Raw genomic sequence first — 24,671 nt, 5'->3', positions numbered from 1 at the left:
AGTCACCCCCTCCAACCGCGAACACCACACCCACTCATCAGGTGCGCGATAAGCCAATCAAATATCAGCACTCAATTCAGGAAGGAGTCACAGGGTGTGTCCCCTTGCATCGCTGGGAATTCAACAGACACAGCCCACAGCATGACTTCCAGAACACCTGAATCAAATTACTCCTCAGGATGATAGGCACATATAATAGGAGTGTAACCGGGTTGGGACAGTGGCCACACAGTTGCCTTATTTTAGGTAAAGCAATGGCAGGGAAGAAATCTTTACGTAGGAAACCGTGTGAGTGTGTGTGTGTGTGATTGTGTTCGTGTGTGTGTGTGTGGGGGGGGCGCGTGTGTGTGTGTGTTTTTTCTGCGATGAACTTCCAAGTATGTACTTTTGGCAGCTGCCATCATCCTCTCAGCGACGGAAAGACAAGAAGTCGAAAGTGCGCTTTCTGACCTGAGAATAGTCAATGAAGTATAGTATTTAGCACAGCGTATTTTCTTCCCTAATGAGAAAGGAGAGATCCGTGGAATCAAACAGACCTTCCAGCGATAACCTTTCCACGTTGAGCCTATTGATTCTCTATCTGAGTGAAATTACCTGCCAGTGGAGAACAAGACAAGTCTTTGCATGAAATGCTCTTGTGGAAGCTAGATTGCCAAATAAGAAAGCATGAAATGGTAGAAACATGCACTGAAGTTTGAAGAGATACTCAGTGCACAAAGTAGACTGTGAAAGCCTTTGGGGAAATCATGCAATCCCCGAGAGACTAATTGATGACAATCCCCAAATTTATGTTTGCCAGAAAAGAGAGACGGTCATGACACTGCATAGTGAGCGGTTTCGGACGTGCGACGGCAGTTTAAGAAAACACGAAACAAAAAACTTGAGAACTCAGAAGGTATCCCAGCTATACCCTTTTGTTTATTAAAGAATTGATGAAAATAAAAACAACGTATCTCACAGCATGTGTGATAATATTTCCATACGTATGTGATAATGGATCAACGTTTCCTAGAGATGAAATAAAAAGTTCTAATTTGGACAAAAGCAAACAAGGAAAATTATACCGTAGAAAAGCCCGGCTGACGGAAGTGAGGCCCTGTCTCAGGGAGAAACATCGGAGACGTTTAAAAGCAGGGAGTGAAACAGAGGATAGCGTGCCATTTTTAATACTGGCCCTTGTTTCAGTGGGAAAAGGCCAAAATAAGCCGTGCATATCCTGGATTCTCGCATCGATCGTTCAGGATCGGAGATGTTGCCTCCATTTCCAGTTACGCATTGTATGGTGGAATTGCAGTTAGCACATTTGGTGCCAAGATTGTAATGCTGCCGAAAGTGGACATGTTCCCTGAAGTAAGAGGGACAGAATTTGGGTGTGTCTTCCGGCTGTCTGGCTTAGCAGGAATGAAGATCCTGGCTCTAGGGATTTTCCCAACATGTCTTAGACGGTAAGGAACAGGGCGGAATTGAGGCCCGGCGCCAAGGCCTCTAGGTGTAAAGAAACAGCCCTGGCTTCAGGGCCCATGAAATTAGGATGATTTTAAGGAGGATGATGGGATGAGAGGACTGTGACCTTTGGCCCCGTTTCTTTCCCTTGTCTTTTCATGGGCCAGGTGTGCTCCATCAGAAGGCTTCCTGTGCCGGATGTAAAGTGTCCTGGGGGAAGAAAAGAGCACTGCTTAGAAAGATGCTCCACAGGGAGAAAGGAGCCACCATTTTCAGGAGAATGATCCCCAGAAGCATGAGCAATGCAGATGCCGAGGCTTCACACAAGACCCTGGAGGGTCTTATTCCTGCAGCCGGGACCTGGGCATCGGTGTGCTTGAATGCTCATAACCGATTTTGAGGGGAGCCCAATCGATAAGCTGTCTGCCAGTCATGCTCATCACACTGTAGTTTTCACACACGTCACACGGAGACCCTGTTCGTATGCACATTTGGGTGCTTGAGCAGGGTTGCGCCCAAGATTCTGTGGTTCTACGGAGCTCTGAGTTGTGCCCTGGGCAGCTTTCCTCTGGGGTTGGTCAACTTTGATCACTATACCTGACGAGAAAGGGACCATGAAGTCTAATCAGCAAATAGAGAAAAGGAAGGGGCCATTTCCCACAATCATTTCCACGGAAACACCACGTCGGATCAATAAGTCTCACTGCGGGACAGGGACTGTGCTTCAGAGATGCAGCTTTCGCAGCTGGACAAATGACCCAGAAATTCCCCAAATGCCATTTTTAAACACACCCAGTGAGATTGATTTCAGGGCTTTCTGAATTTATTTCAGTTGAATACACACACTCCTGTGTTTGCTTTCCTTTATTATCAATACAGCTTACTTCCAGATGACTTACATGCCCGTGGGAAAATTTTCCGTTTGGACTCATGGGAAGCGGGCACCGTGAAACAGGCAAGTCGGTCTGTCCGCTTCCGGCGTTATGTGGGTTCCAGCAAGAGCACAAGTCCCAGGGCGCCTGAGGTCCATTCAGGAACCAGTGTAAAAACGGCGAGCCCGGGGAAGAAAGAAGAGCACCGTTCTTCTCTTCCAAATGCATTCCAGTTTCCACTATTCAAGGTGGCGAGAATGATCCACGGATGTCCCACATGAGCCACCTTTCACCTTCTCATGCCGACCAACAACTGACGAATGAAACACACCCCAAGAGAAAATACGAAACCGAGTCCCCTGCAATTACCTCACACGCAAACCTACACGTCGGTAGGTCATATTCAGAAATACACACTGAATGTCACCTATCATGAACACAAACACTCAGACAGTCCCTCCAGAGGTTCGGAAGACTCACGACCCCAAAACTTGATGTTTCCCATATGCGGGCTCATCCTGAGATGTAGCCATCACTATCCAGTTGTCCCTGTTGTAGAGACAGAAACTTGGGCTCCTCATTAGTTTATGTAGGATTGACGGTGTTCGTGTTTGTGTGGGTGTGTGTGTGTTTGCGTGCGCGCTTCTGGGTGTAGTTATGTGTGTGTCTGTGTGTGTGCGTGTGTGTGTGCACCCCTACGTGTGGGTCGGTACTTCCACTGAGATCACTGGCACACAAGCAGAGCCCTCTTGCTGTGTTTGTTCTTCCCTTTGGATCTCCTGGCCCTCCCTCGCAGGGAAGCGAGTGTGCCAGTGTTCATGGACTCCTGATGTGTCGGGGTCGACGAAGAGAGGTTTAGCAGGGAGCTTTGCTGTTCAGGATGATGGTTCTTCATCCCACACTTGTATTTTGATTGATGAATCACAAGTACGTCGGGAGGCAGGGTACCTTCGACTTTTCTGACGTTGAACTCAGGCTTCGTTTTGTTTTGCTCTTGAAGGAATTTCCAGTGGTCTAAGGTGCTTTCCTGAGTGGCTCTTTCCACCAAGTGCTCGTCCAACTCGGGGGCCTGGAGGCAGGGGTGGTCTCTCTTGAGCTCTCCTTGCGTTGCTCGCCTGTCTGTGTCTTCTGCGCCAAGGGCTCTTGGTTCCCTGCCTCTTGACACACTCTCACTGTGTCTTTCCCATTCACTCTTCTGGATGTAAAAGAGGACGTAGGCCTGTTGACTCAGGACAGAAGTGATGCTAGCGGCGGTGACCTCGGCATCATCCATTTTATACCATTGGCCTTCTTGAGCTTTGACATAAGAGAAGTAATGTCCGTTGTGACAACTCCACCCAGCGTGGACCAGCACAGCATAGAGGACATAGACAAGAGGTCCTGTGTTCTGCTGAGACATGTATGGCTGCATGTCAAGGCACTCAGGATATTGCACATTCTTGGCAATCTTGTTGCCTGTCACATCGGAGAATCTCTTCAATACAAGGATGAGGACCTTGGCAGAGGTGTGTAAAGTTAACGTCTTGGAGGCCGGCGCCCTCTGGAGACAAACACCACAATGATAGGCATTCTCTCCATTGAGTTCTTCGGGCTTCACCAACTGTTCCAAAGCTTGCTGGACACTCTGAGCTGCCTGGATATCCAGGGCGATGTCCAGGTAAGGGTCAAAAGTGTCTGAAATGCCGTGGCAGTGGAGACACTTGATTTGAGATCTCCAGTAGCCTCCAAATATTTGGTGGATGAGGGTGGTGTCCTTAGAGTGATGATCTACCTGCTTGTGCCCGGGAAGGCATGCCTTTTTCATGGCATCCACAGTGAACATGAGAAATTCATGGGCATCTTCCTGCTTGCCTCTATGGAAGCCAGCAGCCAATGCCTGTGAGGGCTGGATGACGTGGCCAGGATTGTGGAGGGCCCGTGTGATGTGAGCTTGCATCGTACAGAGCATGCAGCCCTTGTGACGATGACACGTTTGAGAGTGCTCCCGGGACAGCATGTAGTTGGCAAGGGGCGGTGTGTATGTCAGGCACTGCAAGGAAGCGTTCACGTAGCAGGTATTTCCCATATTCTGGAGCCCAGCCCCCACCGCAGCAGGTCTCCTGCTACTCAGAGGAAGCTTCTCCCTGGGAGCAAGCTGTCTTGCCACAGGAGCCAAATCATCACAGAGGTCGACACGGGTCTCACATGAGAGTGGTGACTTCTCAGGGAGAGAAGTCCGCTGGATTTCAGCAAAAGCTGCATCGGGCCGAGAAGATGTGAGTTTTGAAAAGTGGTTGAACTGCCACTCACCTCCCAAGTAGAGTGAGTCGTCCTCCATGTCGACTGGAACAAGGATCACAAGGTTTGTCTGCTGGGACCGCAGGTTGCAGAAAGACGCTATCCCTTCCGAGAGAGTCTTCAAATGACGAGCTCTCTGGCCGCATCAGCCCTTCTGTAAGTCACCCCCACCAACCGCGAACACCCCACCCACTCATCAGGTGCGCGATAAGCCAATCAAATATCAGCACTCAATTCAGGAAGGAGTCACAGGGTGTGTCCCCTTGCATCGCTGGGAATTCAACAGACACAGCCCACAGCATGACTTCCAGAACACCTGAATCAAATTACTCCTCAGGATGATAGGCACATATAATAGGAGTGTAACCGGGTTGGGACAGTGGCCACACAGTTGCCTTATTTTAGGTAAAGCAATGGCAGGGAAGAAATCTTTACGTAGGAAACCGTGTGAGTGTGTGTGTGTGATTGTGTTCGTCTGTGTGTGTGTGGGGGGGGCGCGTGTGTGTGTGTGTTTGTGCTGGGATGAACTTCCAAGTATGTACTTTTGGCAACTGCCATCATCCTCTCAGCGACGGAAAGACAAGAAGTCGAAAGTGCGCTTTCTGACCTGAGAATAGTCAATGAAGTATAGTATTTAGCACAGCGTATTTTCTTCCCTAATGAGAAAGGAGAGATCCGTGGAATCAAACAGACCTTCCAGCGATAACCTTTCCACGTTGAGCCTATTGATTCTCTATCTGAGTGAAATTACCTGCCAGTGGAGAACAAGACAAGTCTTTGCATGAAATGCTCTTGTGGAAGCTAGATTGCCAAATAAGAAAGCATGAAATGGTAGAAACATGCACTGAAGTTTGAAGAGATACTCAGTGCACAAAGTAGACTGTGAAAGCCTTTGGGGAAATCATGCAATCCCCGAGAGACTAATTGATGACAATCCCCAAATTTATGTTTGCCAGAAAAGAGAGACGGTCATGACACTGCATAGTGAGCGGTTTCGGACGTGCGACGGCAGTTTAAGAAAACACGAAACAAAAAACTTGAGAACTCAGAAGGTATCCCAGCTATAACCGTTTGTTTATTAAAGAATTGATGAAAATAAAAACAACGTATCTCACAGCATGTGTGATAATATTTCCATACGTATGTGATAATGGATCAACGTTTCCTAGAGGTGAAATAAAAAGTTCTAATTTGGACAAAAGCAAACAAGGAAAATTATACCGTGGAAAAGCCCGGCTGACGGAAGTGAGGCCCTGTCTCAGGGAGAAACATCGGAGACGTTTAAAAGCAGGGAGTGAAACAGAGGATAGCGTGCCATTTTTAATACTGGCCCTTGTTTCAGTGGGAAAAGGCCAAAATAAGCCGTGCATATCCTGGATTCTCGCATCGATCGTTCAGGATCGGAGATGTTGCCTCCATTTCCAGTTACGCATTGTATGGTGGAATTGCAGTTAGCACATTTGGTGCCAAAATTGTAATGCTGCCGAAAGTGGACATGTTCCCTGAAGTAAGAGGGACAGAATTTGGGTGTGTCTTCCGGCTGTCTGGCTTAGCAGGAATGAAGATCCTGGCTCTAGGGATTTTCCCAACATGTCTTAGACGGTAAGGAACAGGGCGGAATTGAGGCCCGGCGCCAAGGCCTCTAGGTGTAAAGAAACAGCCCTGGCTTCAGGGCCCATGAAATTAGGATGATTTTAAGGAGGATGATGGGATGAGAGGACTGTGACCTTTGGCCCCGTTTCTTTCCCTTGTCTTTTCATGGGCCAGGTGTGCTCCATCAGAAGGCTTCCTGTGCCGGATGTAAAGTGTCCTGGGGGAAGAAAAGAGCACTGCTTAGAAAGATGCTCCACAGGGAGAAAGGAGCCACCATTTTCAGGAGAATGATCCCCAGAAGCATGAGCAATGCAGATGCCGAGGCTTCACACAAGACCCTGGAGGGTCTTATTCCTGCAGCCGGGACCTGGGCATCGGTGTGCTTGAATGCTCATAACCGATTTTGAGGGGAGCCCAATCGATAAGCTGTCTGCCAGTCATGCTCATCACACTGTAGTTTTCACACACGTCACACGGAGACCCTGTTCGTATGCACATTTGGGTGCTTGAGCAGGGTTGCGCCCAAGATTCTGTGGTTCTACGGAGCCCTGAGTTGTGCCCTGGGCAGCTTTCCTCTGGGGCTGGTCAACTTTGATCACTGTACCTGACGAGAAAGGGACCATGAAGTCTAATCAGCAAATAGAGAAAAGGAAGGGGCCATTTCCCACAATCATTTCCACGGAAACACCACGTCGGATCAATAAGTCTCACTGCGGGACAGGGACTGTGCTTCAGAGATGCAGCTTTCGCAGCTGGACAAATGACCCAGAAATTCCCCAAATGCCATTTTTAAACACACCCAGTGAGATTGATTTCAGGGCTTTCTGAATTTATTTCAGTTGAATACACACACTCCTGTGTTTGCTTTCCTTTATTATCAATACAGCTTACTTCCAGATGACTTACATGCCCGTGGGAAAATTTTCCGTTTGGACTCATGGGAAGCGGGCACCGTGAAACAGGCAAGTCGGTCTGTCCGCTTCCGGCGTTATGTGGGTTCCAGCAAGAGCACAAGTCCCAGGGCGCCTGAGGTCCATTCAGGAACCAGTGTAAAAACGGCGAGCCCGGGGAAGAAAGAAGAGCACCGTTCTTCTCTTCCAAATGCATTCCAGTTTCCACTATTCAAGGTGGCGAGAATGATCCACGGATGTCCCACATGAGCCACATTTCACCTTCTCATGCCGACCAACAACTGACGAATGAAACACACCCCAAGAGAAAATACGAAACCGAGTCCCCTGCAATTACCTCACACGCAAACCTACACGTCGGTAGGTCATATTCAGAAATACACACTGAATGTCACCTATCATGAACACAAACACTCAGACAGTCCCTCCAGAGGTTCGGAAGACTCACGACCCCAAAACTTGATGTTTCCCATATGCGGGCTCATCCTGAGATGTAGCCATCACTATCCAGTTGTCCCTGTTGTAGAGACAGAAACTTGGGCTCCTCATTAGTTTATGTAGGATTGACGGTGTTCGTGTTTGTGTGGGTGTGTGTGTGTTTGCGTGCGCGCTTCTGGGTGTAGTTATGTGTGTGTCTGTGTGTGTGCGTGTGTGTGTGCACCCCTACGTGTGGGTCGGTACTTCCACTGAGATCACTGGCACACAAGCAGAGCCCTCTTGCTGTGTTTGTTCTTCCCTTTGGATCTCCTGGCCCTCCCTCGCAGGGAAGCGAGTGTGCCAGTGTTCATGGACTCCTGATGTGTCGGGGTCGACGAAGAGAGGTTTAGCAGGGAGCTTTGCTGTTCAGGATGATGGTTCTTCATCCCACACTTGTATTTTGATTGATGAATCACAAGTACGTCGGGAGGCAGGGTACCTTTGACTTTTCTGACGTTGAACTCAGGCTTCGTTTTGTTTTGCTCTTGAAGGAATTTCCAGTGGTCTAAGGTGCTTTCCTGAGTGGCTCTTTCCACCAAGTGCTCGTCCAACTCGGGGGCCTGGAGGCAGGGGTGGTCTCTCTTGAGCTCTCCTTGCGTTGCTCGCCTGTCTGTGTCTTCTGCGCCAAGGGCTCTTGGTTCCCTGCCTCTTGACACACTCTCACTATGTCTTTCCCATTCACTCTTCTGGATGTAAAAGAGGACGTAGGCCTGTTGACTCAGGACAGAAGTGATGCTAGCGGCGGTGACCTCGGCATCATCCATTTTATACCACTGGCCTTCTTGAGCTTTGACATAAGAGAAGTAATGTCCGTTGTGACAACTCCACTCAGCGTGGACCAGCACAGCATAGAGGACATAGACAAGAGGTCCTGTGTTCTGCTGAGACATGTATGGCTGCATGTCAAGGCACTCAGGATATTGCACATTCTTGGCAATCTTGTTGCCTGTGACATCGGAGAATCTCTTCAATACAAGGATGAGGACCTTGGCAGAGGTGTGTAAAGTTAACGTCTTGGAGGCCGGCGCCCTCTGGAGACAAACACCACAATGATAGGCATTCTCTCCATTGAGTTCTTCGGGCTTCACCAACTGTTCCAAAGCTTGCTGGACACTCTGAGCTGCCTGGATATCCAGGGCGATGTCCAGGTAAGGGTCAAAAGTGTCTGAAATGCCGTGGCAGTGGAGACACTTGATTTGAGATCTCCAGTAGCCTCCAAATATTTGGTGGATGAGGGTGGTGTCCTTAGAGTGATGATCTACCTGCTTGTGCCTGGGAAGGCATGCCTTTTTCATGGCATCCACAGTGAACATGAGAAATTCATGGGCATCTTCCTGCTTGCCTCTATGGAAGCCAGCAGCCAATGCCTGTGAGGGCTGGATGACGTGGCCAGGATTGTGGAGGGCCCGTGTGATGTGAGCTTGCATAGTACAGAGCATGCAGCCCTTGTGACGATGACACGTTTGAGAGTGCTCCCGGGACAGCATGTAGTTGGCAAGGGGCGGTGTGTATGTCAGGCACTGCAAGGAAGCGTTCACGTAGCAGGTATTTCCCATATTCTGGAGCCCAGCCCCCACCGCAGCAGGTCTCCTGCTACTCAGAGGAAGCTTCTCCCTGGGAGCAAGCTGTCTTGCCACAGGAGCCAAATCATCTCAGAGGTCGACACGGGTCTCACATGAGAGTGGTGACTTCTCAGGGAGAGAAGTCCGCTGGATTTCAGCAAAAGCTGCATCTGGCCGAGAAGATGTGAGTTTTGAAAAGTGGTTGAACTGCCACTCACCTCCCAAGTAGAGTGAGTCGTCCTCCATGTCGACTGGAACAAGGATCACAAGGTTTGTCTGCTGGGACCACAGGTTGCAGAAAGACGCTATCCCTTCCGAGAGAGTCTTCAAATGACGAGCTCTCTGGCCACATCAGCCCTTCTGTAAGTCACCCCCACCAACCGCGAACACCCCACCTACTCATCAGGTGCGCGATAAGCCAATCAAATATCAGCACTCAATTCAGGAAGGAGTCACAGGGTGTGTCCCCTGGCATCGCTGGGAATTCAACAGACACAGCCCACAGCATGACTTCCAGAACACCTGAATCAAATTACTCCTCAGGATGATAGGCACATATAATAGGAGTGTAACCGGGTTGGGACAGTGGCCTCACAGTTGCCTTATTTTAGGTAAAGCAATGGCAGGGAAGAAATCTTTACCTAGGAAACCGTGTGCGTGTGTGTGTGTGAGTGTGTTTGTGTGTGTGTGTGTGGGGGGGGCGTGTGTGTGTGTGTTTGTGCTGGGATGAACTTCCAAGTATGTACTTTTGGCAGCTGCCATCATCCTCTCCGCGACGGAAGGACAAGAAGACGAAAGTGCGCTTTCTGACCTGAGAATAGTCAATGAAGTATAGTATTTAGCACAGCGTATTTTCTTCCCTAATGAGAAAGGAGAGATCCGTGGAATCAAACAGACCTTCCAGCGATAAGCTTTCCACGTTGAGCCTATTGATTCTCTGTCCGAGTGAAATTACCTGCCAGTGGAGAACAAGACAAGTCTTTGCGTGAAATGCTCTTGTGGAAGCTAGATTGCCAAATAAGAAAGAATCAAATGGTAGAAACATGCACTGAAGTTTGAAGAGATACTCAGTGCACAAAGTAGACTGTGAAAGCCTTTGGGGAAATCATGCAATCCCCGAGAGACTAATTGATGACAATCCCCAAATTTATGTTTGCCAGAAAAGAGAGACGGTCATGACACTGCATAGTGAGCGGTTTCGGACGTGCGACGGCAGTTTAAGAAAACACGAAACAAAAAACTTGAGAACTCAGAAGGTATCCCAGCTATAACCGTTTGTTTATTAAAGAATTGATGAAAATAAAAACAACGTATCTCACAGCATGTGTGATAATATTTCCATACGTATGTGATAATGGATCAACGTTTCCTAGAGGTGAAATAAAAAGTTCTAATTTGGACAAAAGCAAACAAGGAAAATTATACCGTGGAAAAGCCCGGCTGACGGAAGTGAGGCCCTGTCTCAGGGAGAAACATCGGAGACGTTTAAAAGCAGGGAGTGAAACAGAGGATAGCGTGCCATTTTTAATACTGGCCCTTGTTTCAGTGGGAAAAGGCCAAAATAAGCCGTGCATATCCTGGATTCTCGCATCGATCGTTCAGGATCGGAGATGTTGCCTCCATTTCCAGTTACGCATTGTATGGTGGAATTGCAGTTAGCACATTTGGTGCCAAGATTGTAATGCTGCCGAAAGTGGACATGTTCCCTGAAGTAAGAGGGACAGAATTTGGGTGTGTCTTCCGGCTGTCTGGCTTAGCAGGAATGAAGATCCTGGCTCTAGGGATTTTCCCAACATGTCTTAGACGGTAAGGAACAGGGCGGAATTGAGGCCCGGCGCCAAGGCCTCTAGGTGTAAAGAAACAGCCCTGGCTTCAGGGCCCATGAAATTAGGATGATTTTAAGGAGGATGATGGGATGAGAGGACTGTGACCTTTGGCCCCGTTTCTTTCCCTTGTCTTTTCATGGGCCAGGTGTGCTCCATCAGAAGGCTTCCTGTGCCGGATGTAAAGTGTCCTGGGGGAAGAAAAGAGCACTGCTTAGAAAGATGCTCCACAGGGAGAAAGGAGCCACCATTTTCAGGAGAATGATCCCCAGAAGCATGAGCAATGCAGATGCCGAGGCTTCACACAAGACCCTGGAGGGTCTTATTCCTGCAGCCGGGACCTGGGCATCGGTGTGCTTGAATGCTCATAACCGATTTTGAGGGGAGCCCAATCGATAAGCTGTCTGCCAGTCATGCTCATCACACTGTAGTTTTCACACACGTCACACGGAGACCCTGTTCGTATGCACATTTGGGTGCTTGAGCAGGGTTGCGCCCAAGATTCTGTGGTTCTACGGAGCTCTGAGTTGTGCCCTGGGCAGCTTTCCTCTGGGGTTGGTCAACTTTGATCACTATACCTGACGAGAAAGGGACCATGAAGTCTAATCAGCAAATAGAGAAAAGGAAGGGGCCATTTCCCACAATCATTTCCACGGAAACACCACGTCGGATCAATAAGTCTCACTGCGGGACAGGGACTGTGCTTCAGAGATGCAGCTTTCGCAGCTGGACAAATGACCCAGAAATTCCCCAAATGCCATTTTTAAACACACCCAGTGAGATTGATTTCAGGGCTTTCTGAATTTATTTCAGTTGAATACACACACTCCTGTGTTTGCTTTCCTTTATTATCAATACAGCTTACTTCCAGATGACTTACATGCCCGTGGGAAAATTTTCCGTTTGGACTCATGGGAAGCGGGCACCGTGAAACAGGCAAGTCGGTCTGTCCGCTTCCGGCGTTATGTGGGTTCCAGCAAGAGCACAAGTCCCAGGGCGCCTGAGGTCCATTCAGGAACCAGTGTAAAAACGGCGAGCCCGGGGAAGAAAGAAGAGCACCGTTCTTCTCTTCCAAATGCATTCCAGTTTCCACTATTCAAGGTGGCGAGAATGATCCACGGATGTCCCACATGAGCCACCTTTCACCTTCTCATGCCGACCAACAACTGACGAATGAAACACACCCCAAGAGAAAATACGAAACCGAGTCCCCTGCAATTACCTCACACGCAAACCTACACGTCGGTAGGTCATATTCAGAAATACACACTGAATGTCACCTATCATGAACACAAACACTCAGACAGTCCCACCAGAGGTTCGGAAGACTCACGACCCCAAAACTTGATGTTTCCCATATGCGGGCTCATCCTGAGATGTAGCCATCACTATCCAGTTGTCCCTGTTGTAGAGACAGAAACTTGGGCTCCTCATTAGTTTATGTAGGATTGACGGTGTTCGTGTTTGGGTGGGTGTGTGTGTTTGCGTGTGCGCTTCTGGGTGTAGTTATGTGTGTGTCTGTGTGTGTGCGTGTGTGTGTGCACCCCTACGTGTGGGTCGGTACTTCCACTGAGACCACTGGCACACAAGCAGAGCCCTCTTGCTGTGTTTGTTCTTCCCTTTGGATCTCCTGGCCCTCCCTCGCAGGGAAGCGAGTGTGCCAGTGTTCATGGACTCCTGATGTGTCGGGGTCGTCGAAGAGAGGTTTAGCAGGGAGCTTTGCTGTTCAGGATGATGGTTCTTCATCCCACACTTGTATTTTGATTGATGAATCACAAGTACGTCGGGAGGCAGGGTACCTTCGACTTTTCTGACGTTGAACTCAGGCTTCGTTTTGTTTTGCTCTTGAAGGAATTTCCAGTGGTCTAAGGTGCTTTCCTGAGTGGCTCTTTCCACCAAGTGCTCGTCCAACTCGGGGGCCTGGAGGCAGGGGTGGTCTCTCTTGAGCTCTCCTTGCGTTGCTCGCCTGTCTGTGTCTTCTGCGCCAAGGGCTCTTGGTTCCCTGCCTCTTGACACACTCTCACTGTGTCTTTCCCATTCACTCTTCTGGATGTAAAAGAGGACGTAGGCCTGTTGACTCAGGACAGAAGTGATGCTAGAGGCGGTGACCTCGGCATCATCCATTTTATACCACTGGCCTTCTTGAGCTTTGACATAAGAGAAGTAATGTCCGTTGTGACAACTCCACCCAGCGTGGACCAGCACAGCATAGAGGACATAGACGAGAGGTCCTGAGTTCGTCTGAGACATGTATAGCTTCATGTCAAGGCACTCAGGATATTGCACATTCTTGTCAATCTTGTTGCCTGTGACATCGGAGAATCTCTTCAATACAAGGATGAGGACCTTGGCAGAGGTGTGTAAAGTTAACGTCTTGGAGGCCGGCGCCCTCTGGAGACAAACACCACAATGATAGGCATTCTCTCCATTGAGTTCTTCGGGCTTCACCAACTGTTCCAAAGCTTGCTGGACACTCTGAGCTGCCTGGATATCCAGGGCGATGTCCAGGTAAGGGTCAAAAGTGTCTGAAATGCCGTGGCAGTGGAGACACTTGATTTGAGATCTCCAGTAGCCTCCAAATATTTGGTGGATGAGGGTGGTGTCCTTAGAGTGATGATCCACCTGCTTGTGCCCGGGAAGGCATGCCTTTTTCATGGCATCCACAGTGAACATGAGAAATTCATGGGCATCTTCCTGCTTGCCTCTATGGAAGCCAGCAGCCAATGCCTGTGAGGGCTGGATGACGTGGCCAGGATTGTGGAGGGCCCGTGTGATGTGAGCTTGCATCGTACAGAGCATGCAGCCCTTGTGACGATGACACGTTTGAGAGTGCTCCCGGGACAGCATGTAGTTGGCAAGGGGCGGTGTGTATGTCAGGCACTGCAAGGAAGCGTTCACGTAGCAGGTATTTCCCATATTCTGGAGCCCAGCCCCCACCGCAGCAGGTCTCCTGCTACTCAGAGGAAGCTTCTCCCTGGGAGCAAGCTGTCTTGCCACAGGAGCCAAATCATCACAGAGGTCGACACGGGTCTCACATGAGAGTGGTGACTTCTCAGGGAGAGAAGTCCGCTGGATTTCAGCAAAAGCTGCATCGGGCCGAGAAGATGTGAGTTTTGAAAAGTGGTTGAACTGCCACTCACCTCCCAAGTAGAGTGAGTCGTCCTCCATGTCGACTGGAACGAGGATCACAAGGTTTGTCTGCTGGGACCGCAGGTTGCAGAAAGACGCTATCCCTTCCGAGAGAGTCTTCAAATGACGAGCTCTCTGGCCGCATCAGCCCTTCTGTAAGTCACCCCCACCAACCGCGAACACCCCACCCACTCATCAGGTGCGCGATAAGCCAATCAAATATCAGCACTCAATTCAGGAAGGAGTCACAGGGTGTGTCCCCTGGCATCGCTGGGAATTCAACAGACACAGCCCACAGCATGACTTCCAGAACACCTGAATCAAATTACTCCTCAGGATGATAGGCACATATAATAGGAGTGTAACCGGGTTGGGACAGTGGCCTCACAGTTGCCTTATTTTAGGTAAAGCAATGGCAGGGAAGAAATCTTTACCTAGGAAACCGTGTGCGTGTGTGTGTGTGAGTGTGTTTGTGTGTGTGTGGGGGGGGGCGTGTGTGTGTGTGTGTTTGTGCTGGGATGAACCTCCAAGTAGGTACTTTTGGCAGCTGCCATCATCCTCTCAGCGACGGAAGGACAAGAAGTCGAAAGTGCGCTTTCTGACCTGAGAATAGTCAATGAAGTATAGTATTTAGCACAGCGTATTTTCTTCCCTAGTGAGAAAGGAGAGATCCGTGGAATCAAACAGACCTTCCAGCGATAACCTTTCCACGTTGAGCCTATTGATTCTCTGTCCGAGTGAAATTACCTGCCAGTGGAGAACAAGACAAGTCTTTGCATGAAATGCTCTTGTGGAAGCTAGATTGCCAAATAAGAAAGAATCAAATGGTAGAAACATGCACTGAAGTTTGAAGAGATACTCAGTGCACAAAGTAGACTGTGAAAGCCTTTGGGGAAATCATGCAATCCCCGAGAGACTAATTGATGACAATCCCCAAATTTATGTTTGCCAGAAAAGAGAGACGGTCATGACACTGCATAGTGAGCGGTTTCGGACGTGCGACGGCAGTTTAAGAAAACACGAAACAAAAAACTTGAGAACTCAGAAGGTATCCCAGCTATACCCTTTTGTTTATTAAAGAATTGATGAAAATAAAAACAACGTATCTCACAGCATGTGTGATAATATTTCCATACGTATGTGATAATGGATCAACGTTTCCTAGAGATGAAATAAAAAGTTCTAATTTGGACAAAAGCAAACAAGGAAAATTATACCGTAGAAAAGCCCGGCTGACGGAAGTGAGGCCCTGTCTCAGGGAGAAACATCGGAGACGTTTAAAAGCAGGGAGTGAAACAGAGGATAGCGTGCCATTTTTAATACTGGCCCTTGTATCAGTGGGAAAAGGCCAAAATAAGCCGTGCATATCCTGGATTCTCGCATCGATCGTTCAGGATCGGAGATGTTGCCTCCATTTCCAGTTACGCATTGTATGGTGGAATTGCAGTTAGCACATTTGGTGCCAAAATTGTAATGCTGCCGAAAGTGGACATGTTCCCTAAGTAAGAGGGACAGAATTTGGGTGTGTCTTCCGGCTGTCTGGCTTAGCAGGAATGAAGATCCTGGCTCTAGGGATTTTCCCAACACGTCTTAGACGGTAAGGAACAGGGCGGAATTGAGGCCCGGCGCCAAGGCCTCTAGGTGTAAAGAAACAGCCCTGGCTTCAGGGCCCATGAAATTAGGATGATTTTAAGGAGGATGATGGGATGAGAGGACTGTGACCTTTGGCCCCGTTTCTTTCCCTTGTCTTTTCATGGGCCAGGTGTGCTCCATCAGAAGGCTTCCTGTGCCGGATGTAAAGTGTCCTGGGGGAAGAAAAGAGCACTGCTTAGAAAGATGCTCCACAGGGAGAAAGGAGCCACCATTTTCAGGAGAATGATCCCCAGAAGCATGAGCAATGCAGATGCCGAGGCTTCACACAAGACCCTGGAGGGTCTTATTCCTGCAGCCGGGACCTGGGCATCGGTGTGCTTGAATGCTCATAACCGATTTTGAGGGGAGCCCAATCGATAAGCTGTCTGCCAGTCATGCTCATCACACTGTAGTTTTCACACACGTCACACGGAGACCCTGTTCGTATGCACATTTGGGTGCTTGAGCAGGGTTGCGCCCAAGATTCTGTGGTTCTACGGAGCCCTGAGTTGTGCCCTGGGCAGCTTTCCTCTGGGTTGGTCAACTTTGATCACTATACCTGACGAGAAAGGGACCATGAAGTCTAATCAGCAAATAGAGAAAAGGAAGGGGCCATTTCCCACAATCATTTCCACGGAAACACCACGTCGGATAAATAAGTCTCACTGCGGGACAGGGACTGTGCTTCAGAGATGCAGCTTTCGCAGCTGGACAAATGACCCAGAAATTCCCCAAATGCCATTTTTAAACACACCCAGTGAGATTGATTGCAGGGCTTTCTGAATTTATTTCAGTTGAATACACACACTCCTGTGTTTGCTTTCCTTTATTATCAATACAGCTTACTTCCAGATGACTTACATGCCCGTGGGAAAATTTTCCGTTTGGACTCATGGGAAGCGGGCACCGTGAAACAGGCAAGTCGGTCTGTCCGCTTCCGGCGTTATGTGGGTTCCAGCAAGAGCACAAGTCCCAGGGCGCCTGAGGTCCATTCAGGAACCAGTGTAAAAACGGCGAGCCCGGGGAAGAAAGAAGAGCACCGTTCTTCTCTTCCAAATGCATTCCAGTTTCCACTATTCAAGGTGGCGAGAATGATCCACGGATGTCCCACATGAGCCACCTTTCACCTTCTCATGCCGACCAACAACTGACGAATGAAACACACCCCAAGAGAAAATACGAAACCGAGTCCCCTGCAATTACCTCACACGCAAACCTACACGTCGGTAGGTCATATTCAGAAATACACACTGAATGTCACCTATCATGAACACAAACACTCAGACAGTCCCACCAGAGGTTCGGAAGACTCACGACCCCAAAACTTGATGTTTCCCATATGCGGGCTCATCCTGAGATGTAGCCATCACTATCCAGTTGTCCCTGTTGTAGAGACAGAAACTTGGGCTCCTCATTAGTTTATGTAGGATTGACGGTGTTCGTGTTTGTGTGGGTGTGTGTGTGTTTGCGTGCGCGCTTCTGGGTGTAGTTATGTGTGTGTCTGTGTGTGTGCGTGTGTGTGTGCACCCCTACGTGTGGGTCGGTACTTCCACTGAGATCACTGGCACACAAGCAGAGCCCTCTTGCTGTGTTTGTTCTTCCCTTTGGATCTCCTGGCCCTCCCTCGCAGGGAAGCGAGTGTGCCATTGTTCATGGACTGCTGATGTGTCGGGGTCGTCGAAGAGAGGTTTAGCAGGGAGCTTTGCTGTTCAGGATGATGGTTCTTCATCCCACACTTGTATTTTGATTGATGAATCACAAGTACGTCGGGAGGCAGGGTACCTTCGACTTTTCTGACGTTGAACTCAGGCTTCGTTTTGTTTTGCTCTTGAAGGAATTTCCAGTGGTCTAAGGTGCTTTCCTGAGTGGCTCTTTCCACCAAGTGCTCGTCCAACTCGGGGGCCTGGAGTCAGGGGTGGTCTCTCTTGAGCTCTCCTTGCGTTACTCGCCTGTCTGTGTCTTCTGCGCCAAGGGCTCTTGGTTCCCTGCCTCTTGACACACTCTCACTGTGTCTTTCCCATTCACTCTTCTGGATGTAAAAGAGGACGTAGGCCTGTTGACTCAGGACAGATGTGATGCTAGCGGCGGTGACCTCGGCATCATCCATTTTATACCACTGGCCTTCTTGAGCTTTGACATAAGAGAAGTAATGTCCGTTGTGACAACTCCACCCAGCATGGACCAGCACAGCATAGAGGACATAGACAAGAGGTCCTGTGTTCTGCTGAGACATGTATGGCTGCATGTCAAGGCACTCAGGATATTGCACATTCTTGGCAATCTTGTTGCCTGTGACATCGGAGAATCTCTTCAATACAAGGATGAGGACCTTGGCAGAAGTGTGTAAAGTTAACGTCTTGGAGGCCGGCGCCCTCTGGAGACAAACACCACAATGATAGGCATTCTCTCCATTGAGTTCTTCGGGCTTCACCAACTGTTCCAAAGCTTGCTGGACACTCTGAGCTGCCTGGATATCCAGGGCGATGTCCAGGTAAGGGTCAAAAGTGTCTGAAATGCCGTGGCAGTGGAGACACTTGATTTGAGATCTCCAGTAGCCTCCAAATATTTGGTGGATGAGGGTGGTGTCCTTAGAGGGATGATCTACCTGCTTGTGCCCGGGAAGGCATGCCTTTTTCATGGCATCCACAGTGAACATGAGAAATTCATGGGCATCTTCCTGCTTGCCTCTATGGAAGCCAGCAGCCAATGCCTGTGAGGGCTGGATGACGTGGCCAGGATTGTGGAGGGCCCGTGTGATGTGAGCTTGCATAGTACAGAGCATGCAGCCCTTGTGACGATGACACGTTTGAGAGTGCTCCCGGGACAGCATGTAGTTGGCAAGGGGCGGTGTGTATGTCAGGCACTGCAAGGAAGCGTTCACGTAGCAGGTATTTCCCATATTCTGGAGCCCAGCCCCCACCGCAGCAGGTCTCCTGCTACTCAGAGGAAGCTTCTCCCTGGGAGCAAGCTGTCTTGCCTCAGGAACCAAATCATCACAGAGGTCGACACGGGTCTCACATGAGAGTGGTGACTTCTCAGGGAGAGAAGTCCGCTGGATTTCAGCAAAAGCTGCATCGAGCCGAGAAGATGTGAGTTTTGAAAAGTGGTTGAACTGCCACTCACCACCCAAGTAGAGTGAGTCCTCCTCCATGTCGACTGGAACAAGGATCACAAGGTTTGTCTGCTGGGACCGCAGGTTGCAGAAAGACGCTATCCCTTCCGAGAGAGTCTTCAAATGACGAGCTCTCTGGCCGCATCAGCCCTTCTGTAAGTCACCCCCACGAACCGCGAACACCCCACCCACTCATCAGGTGCGCGATAAGCCAATCAAATATCAGCACTCAATTCAGGAAGGAGTCACAGGGTGTGTCCCCTGGCATCGCTGGGAATTCAACAGACACAGCCCACAGCATGACTTCCAGAACACCTGAATCAAATTACTCCTCAGGATGATAGGCACATATAATAGGAGTGTAACCGGGTTGGGACAGTGGCCTCACAGTTGCCTTATTTTAGGTAAAGCAATGGCAGGGAAGAAATCTTTACCTAGGAAACCGTGTGCGTGTGTGTGTGTGAGTGTGTTTGTGTGTGTGTGGGGGGGGCATGTGTGTGTGTGTGTTTGTGCTGGGATGAACCTCCAAGTAGTTACTTTTGGCAGCTGCCATCATCCTCTCAGCGACGGAAGGACAAGAAGTCGAAAGTGCGCTTTCTGACCTGAGAATAGTCAATGAAGTATAGTATTTAGCACAGCGTATTTTCTTCCCTAGTGAGAAAGGAGAGATCCGTGGAATCAAACAGACCTTCCAGCGATAACCTTTCCACGTTGAGCCTATTGATTCTCTGTCCGAGTGAAATTACCTGCCAGTGGAGAAGAAGACAAGTCTTTGCATGAAATGCTCTTGTGGAAGCTAGATTGCCAAATAATAAAGCATCAAATGGTAGAAACATGCACTGAAGTTTGAAGAGATACTCAGTGCACAAAGTAGACAGTGAAAGCCTTTGGGGAAATCATGCAATCCCCGAGAGACTAATTGATGACAATCCCCAAATTTATGTTTGCCAGAAAAGAGAGACGGTCATGACACTGCATAGTGAGCGGTTTCGGACGTGCGACGGCAGTTTAAGAAAACACGAAACAAAAAACTTGAGAACTCAGAAGGTATCCCAGCTATACCCTTTTGTTTATTAAAGAATTGATGAAAATAAAAACAACGTATCTCACAGCATGTGTGATAATATTTCCATACGTATGTGATAATGGATCAACGTTTCCTAGAGATGAAATAAAAAGTTCTAATTTGGACAAAAGCAAACAAGGAAAATTATACCGTAGAAAAGCCCGGCTGACGGAAGTGAGGCCCTGTCTCAGGGAGAAACATCGGAGACGTTTAAAAGCAGGGAGTGAAACAGAGGATAGCGTGCCATTTTTAATACTGGCCCTTGTTTCAGTGGGAAAAGGCCAAAATAAGCCGTGCATATCCTGGATTCTCGCATCGATCGTTCAGGATCGGAGATGTTGCCTCCATTTCCAGTTACGCATTGTATGGTGGAATTGCAGTTAGCACATTTGGTGCCAAAATTGTAATGCTGCCGAAAGTGGACATGTTCCCTGAAGTAAGAGGGACAGAATTTGGGTGTGTCTTCCGGCTGTCTGGCTTAGCAGGAATGAAGATCCTGGCTCTAGGGATTTTCCCAACACGTCTTAGACGGTAAGGAACAGGGCGGAATTGAGGCCCGGCGCCAAGGCCTCTAGGTGTAAAGAAACAGCCCTGGCTTCAGGGCCCATGAAATTAGGATGATTTTAAGGAGGATGATGGGATGAGAGGACTGTGACCTTTGGCCCCGTTTCTTTCCCTTGTCTTTTCATGGGCCAGGTGTGCTCCATCAGAAGGCTTCCTGTGCCGGATGTAAAGTGTCCTGGGGGAAGAAAAGAGCACTGCTTAGAAAGATGCTCCACAGGGAGAAAGGAGCCACCATTTTCAGGAGAATGATCCCCAGAAGCATGAGCAATGCAGATGCCGAGGCTTCACACAAGACCCTGGAGGGTCTTATTCCTGCAGCCGGGACCTGGGCATCGGTGTGCTTGAATGCTCATAACCGATTTTGAGGGGAGCCCAATCGATAAGCTGTCTGCCAGTCATGCTCATCACACTGTAGTTTTCACACACGTCACACGGAGACCCTGTTCGTATGCACATTTGGGTGCTTGAGCAGGGTTGCGCCCAAGATTCTGTGGTTCTACGGAGCCCTGAGTTGTGCCCTGGGCAGCTTTCCTCTGGGGCTGGTCAACTTTGATCACTGTACCTGACGAGAAAGGGACCATGAAGTCTAATCAGCAAATAGAGAAAAGGAAGGGGCCATTTCCCACAATCATTTCCACGGAAACACCACGTCGGATCAATAAGTCTCACTGCGGGACAGGGACTGTGCTTCAGAGATGCAGCTTTCGCAGCTGGACAAATGACCCAGAAATTCCCCAAATGCCATTTTTAAACACACCCAGTGAGATTGATTGCAGGGCTTTCTGAATTTATTTCAGTTGAATACACACACTCCTGTGTTTGCTTTCCTTTATTATCAATACAGCTTACTTCCAGATGACTTACATGCCCGTGGGAAAATTTTCCGTTTGGACTCATGGGAAGCGGGCACCGTGAAACAGGCAAGTCGGTCTGTCCGCTTCCGGCGTTATGTGGGTTCCAGCAAGAGCACAAGTCCCAGGGCGCCTGAGGTCCATTCAGGAACCAGTGTAAAAACGGCGAGCCCGGGGAAGAAAGAAGAGCACCGTTCTTCTCTTCCAAATGCATTCCAGTTTCCACTATTCAAGGTGGCGAGAATGATCCACGGATGTCCCACATGAGCCACCTTTCACCTTCTCATGCCGACCAACAACTGACGAATGAAACACACCCCAAGAGAAAATACGAAACCGAGTCCCCTGCAATTACCTCACACGCAAACCTACACGTCGGTAGGTCATATTCAGAAATACACACTGAATGTCACCTATCATGAACACAAACACTCAGACAGTCCCTCCAGAGGTTCGGAAGACTCACGACCCCAAAACTTGATGTTTCCCATATGCGGGCTCATCCTGAGATGTAGCCATCACTATCCAGTTGTCCCTGTTGTAGAGACAGAAACTTGGGCTCCTCATTAGTTTATGTAGGATTGACGGTGTTCGTGTTTGTGTGGGTGTGTGTGTGTTTGCGTGCGCGCTTCTGGGTGTAGTTATGTGTGTGTCTGTGTGTGTGCGTGTGTGTGTGCACCCCTACGTGTGGGTCGGTACTTCCACTGAGATCACTGGCACACAAGCAGAGCCCTCTTGCTGTGTTTGTTCTTCCCTTTGGATCTCCTGGCCCTCCCTCGCAGGGAAGCGAGTGTGCCAGTGTTCATGGACTCCTGATGTGTCGGGGTCGACGAAGAGAGGTTTAGCAGGGAGCTTTGCTGTTCAGGATGATGGTTCTTCATCCCACACTTGTATTTTGATTGATGAATCACAAGTACGTCGGGAGGCAGGGTACCTTCGACTTTTCTGACGTTGAACTCAGGCTTCGTTTTGTTTTGCTCTTGAAGGAATTTCCAGCGGTCTAAGGTGCTTTCCTGAGTGGCTCTTTCCACCAAGTGCTCGTCCAACTCGGGGGCCTGGAGGCAGGGGTGGTCTCTCTTGAGCTCTCCTTGCGTTGCTCGCCTGTCTGTGTCTTCTGCGCCAAGGGCTCTTGGTTCCCTGCCTCTTGACACACTCTCACTGTGTCTTTCCCATTCACTCTTCTGGATGTAAAAGAGGACGTAGGCCTGTTGACTCAGGACAGAAGTGATGCTAGCGGCGGTGACCTCGGCATCATCCATTTTATACCATTGGCCTTCTTGAGCTTTGACATAAGAGAAGTAATGTCCGTTGTGACAACTCCACCCAGCGTGGACCAGCACAGCATAGAGGACATAGACAAGAGGTCCTGTGTTCTGCTGAGACATGTATGGCTGCATGTCAAGGCACTCAGGATATTGCACATTCTTGGCAATCTTGTTGCCTGTCACATCGGAGAATCTCTTCAATACAAGGATGAGGACCTTGGCAGAGGTGTGTAAAGTTAACGTCTTGGAGGCCGGCGCCCTCTGGAGACAAACACCACAATGATAGGCATTCTCTCCATTGAGTTCTTCGGGCTTCACCAACTGTTCCAAAGCTTGCTGGACACTCTGAGCTGCCTGGATATCCAGGGCGATGTCCAGGTAAGGGTCAAAAGTGTCTGAAATGCCGTGGCAGTGGAGACACTTGATTTGAGATCTCCAGTAGCCTCCAAATATTTGGTGGATGAGGGTGGTGTCCTTAGAGGGATGATCTACCTGCTTGTGCCCGGGAAGGCATGCCTTTTTCATGGCATCCACAGTGAACATGAGAAATTCATGGGCATCTTCCTGCTTGCCTCTATGGAAGCCAGCAGCCAATGCCTGTGAGGGCTGGATGACGTGGCCAGGATTGTGGAGGGCCCGTGTGATGTGAGCTTGCATAGTACAGAGCATGCAGCCCTTGTGACGATGACACGTTTGAGAGTGCTCCCGGGACAGCATGTAGTTGGCAAGGGGCGGTGTGTATGTCAGGCACTGCAAGGAAGCGTTCACGTAGCAGGTATTTCCCATATTCTGGAGCCCAGCCCCCACCGCAGCAGGTCTCCTGCTACTCAGAGGAAGCTTCTCCCTGGGAGCAAGCTGTCTTGCCTCAGGAACCAAATCATCACAGAGGTCGACACGGGTCTCACATGAGAGTGGTGACTTCTCAGGGAGAGAAGTCCGCTGGATTTCAGCAAAAGCTGCATCGAGCCGAGAAGATGTGAGTTTTGAAAAGTGGTTGAACTGCCACTCACCACCCAAGTAGAGTGAGTCCTCCTCCATGTCGACTGGAACAAGGATCACAAGGTTTGTCTGCTGGGACCGCAGGTTGCAGAAAGACGCTATCCCTTCCGAGAGAGTCTTCAAATGACGAGCTCTCTGGCCGCATCAGCCCTTCTGTAAGTCACCCCCACGAACCGCGAACACCCCACCCACTCATCAGGTGCGCGATAAGCCAATCAAATATCAGCACTCAATTCAGGAAGGAGTCACAGGGTGTGTCCCCTGGCATCGCTGGGAATTCAACAGACACAGCCCACAGCATGACTTCCAGAACACCTGAATCAAATTACTCCTCAGGATGATAGGCACATATAATAGGAGTGTAACCGGGTTGGGACAGTGGCCTCACAGTTGCCTTATTTTAGGTAAAGCAATGGCAGGGAAGAAATCTTTACCTAGGAAACCGTGTGCGTGTGTGTGTGTGAGTGTGTTTGTGTGTGTGTGGGGGGGGCATGTGTGTGTGTGTGTTTGTGCTGGGATGAACCTCCAAGTAGTTACTTTTGGCAGCTGCCATCATCCTCTCAGCGACGGAAGGACAAGAAGTCGAAAGTGCGCTTTCTGACCTGAGAATAGTCAATGAAGTATAGTATTTAGCACAGCGTATTTTCTTCCCTAGTGAGAAAGGAGAGATCCGTGGAATCAAACAGACCTTCCAGCGATAACCTTTCCACGTTGAGCCTATTGATTCTCTGTCCGAGTGAAATTACCTGCCAGTGGAGAAGAAGACAAGTCTTTGCATGAAATGCTCTTGTGGAAGCTAGATTGCCAAATAATAAAGCATCAAATGGTAGAAACATGCACTGAAGTTTGAAGAGATACTCAGTGCACAAAGTAGACAGTGAAAGCCTTTGGGGAAATCATGCAATCCCCGAGAGACTAATTGATGACAATCCCCAAATTTATGTTTGCCAGAAAAGAGAGACGGTCATGACACTGCATAGTGAGCGGTTTCGGACGTGCGACGGCAGTTTAAGAAAACACGAAACAAAAAACTTGAGAACTCAGAAGGTATCCCAGCTATAACCTTTTGTTTATTAAGAATTGATGAAAATAAAA

The 24,671-nt window shown here is 49.2% G+C and overlaps 3 protein-coding genes and 2 pseudogenes across 3 annotated transcripts; all 5 read right to left on the bottom strand.

Annotated features, from left to right (window-relative positions):
* Nucleotides 1-3,039: 3,039 nt before the first annotated feature.
* On the bottom strand, nucleotides 3,040-4,632 carry USP17L17 (ubiquitin specific peptidase 17 like family member 17). The gene has a single exon (NM_001256857.1). It carries the CDS (start codon nucleotides 4,630-4,632, stop codon nucleotides 3,040-3,042), a length of 1,593 nt encoding a protein of 530 aa, NP_001243786.1.
* USP17L16P (ubiquitin specific peptidase 17 like family member 16, pseudogene) lies at nucleotides 8,257-9,279 on the bottom strand (annotated as a pseudogene).
* On the bottom strand, nucleotides 12,465-14,126 carry USP17L15 (ubiquitin specific peptidase 17 like family member 15). The gene has a single exon (NM_001256894.2). It carries the CDS (start codon nucleotides 14,124-14,126, stop codon nucleotides 12,465-12,467), a length of 1,662 nt encoding a protein of 553 aa, NP_001243823.2.
* Nucleotides 17,278-18,870, bottom strand: USP17L14P (ubiquitin specific peptidase 17 like family member 14, pseudogene; annotated as a pseudogene).
* On the bottom strand, nucleotides 22,023-23,615 carry USP17L13 (ubiquitin specific peptidase 17 like family member 13). The gene has a single exon (NM_001256855.1). It carries the CDS (start codon nucleotides 23,613-23,615, stop codon nucleotides 22,023-22,025), a length of 1,593 nt encoding a protein of 530 aa, NP_001243784.1.
* Between the last annotated feature and the right edge of the window lie 1,056 nt (nucleotides 23,616-24,671).

This window comes from Homo sapiens, chromosome 4 (genome assembly GCF_000001405.40).
Source record: "Homo sapiens chromosome 4, GRCh38.p14 Primary Assembly".
Taxonomy (NCBI): Eukaryota; Metazoa; Chordata; class Mammalia; order Primates; family Hominidae; genus Homo; species Homo sapiens.
This window is presented reverse-complemented; position numbering and strand designations above follow the sequence as displayed.

Excerpts from the sequence above, each read along its gene's own strand:
- USP17L17 (NM_001256857.1), bottom strand. The coding sequence starts at position 4,632 with ATGGAGGACGACTCACTCTACTTGGGAGGTGAGTGGCAGTTCAACCAC.
- USP17L15 (NM_001256894.2), bottom strand. The coding sequence starts at position 14,126 with ATGGAGGACGACTCACTCTACTTGGGAGGTGAGTGGCAGTTCAACCAC.
- USP17L13 (NM_001256855.1), bottom strand. The coding sequence starts at position 23,615 with ATGGAGGAGGACTCACTCTACTTGGGTGGTGAGTGGCAGTTCAACCAC.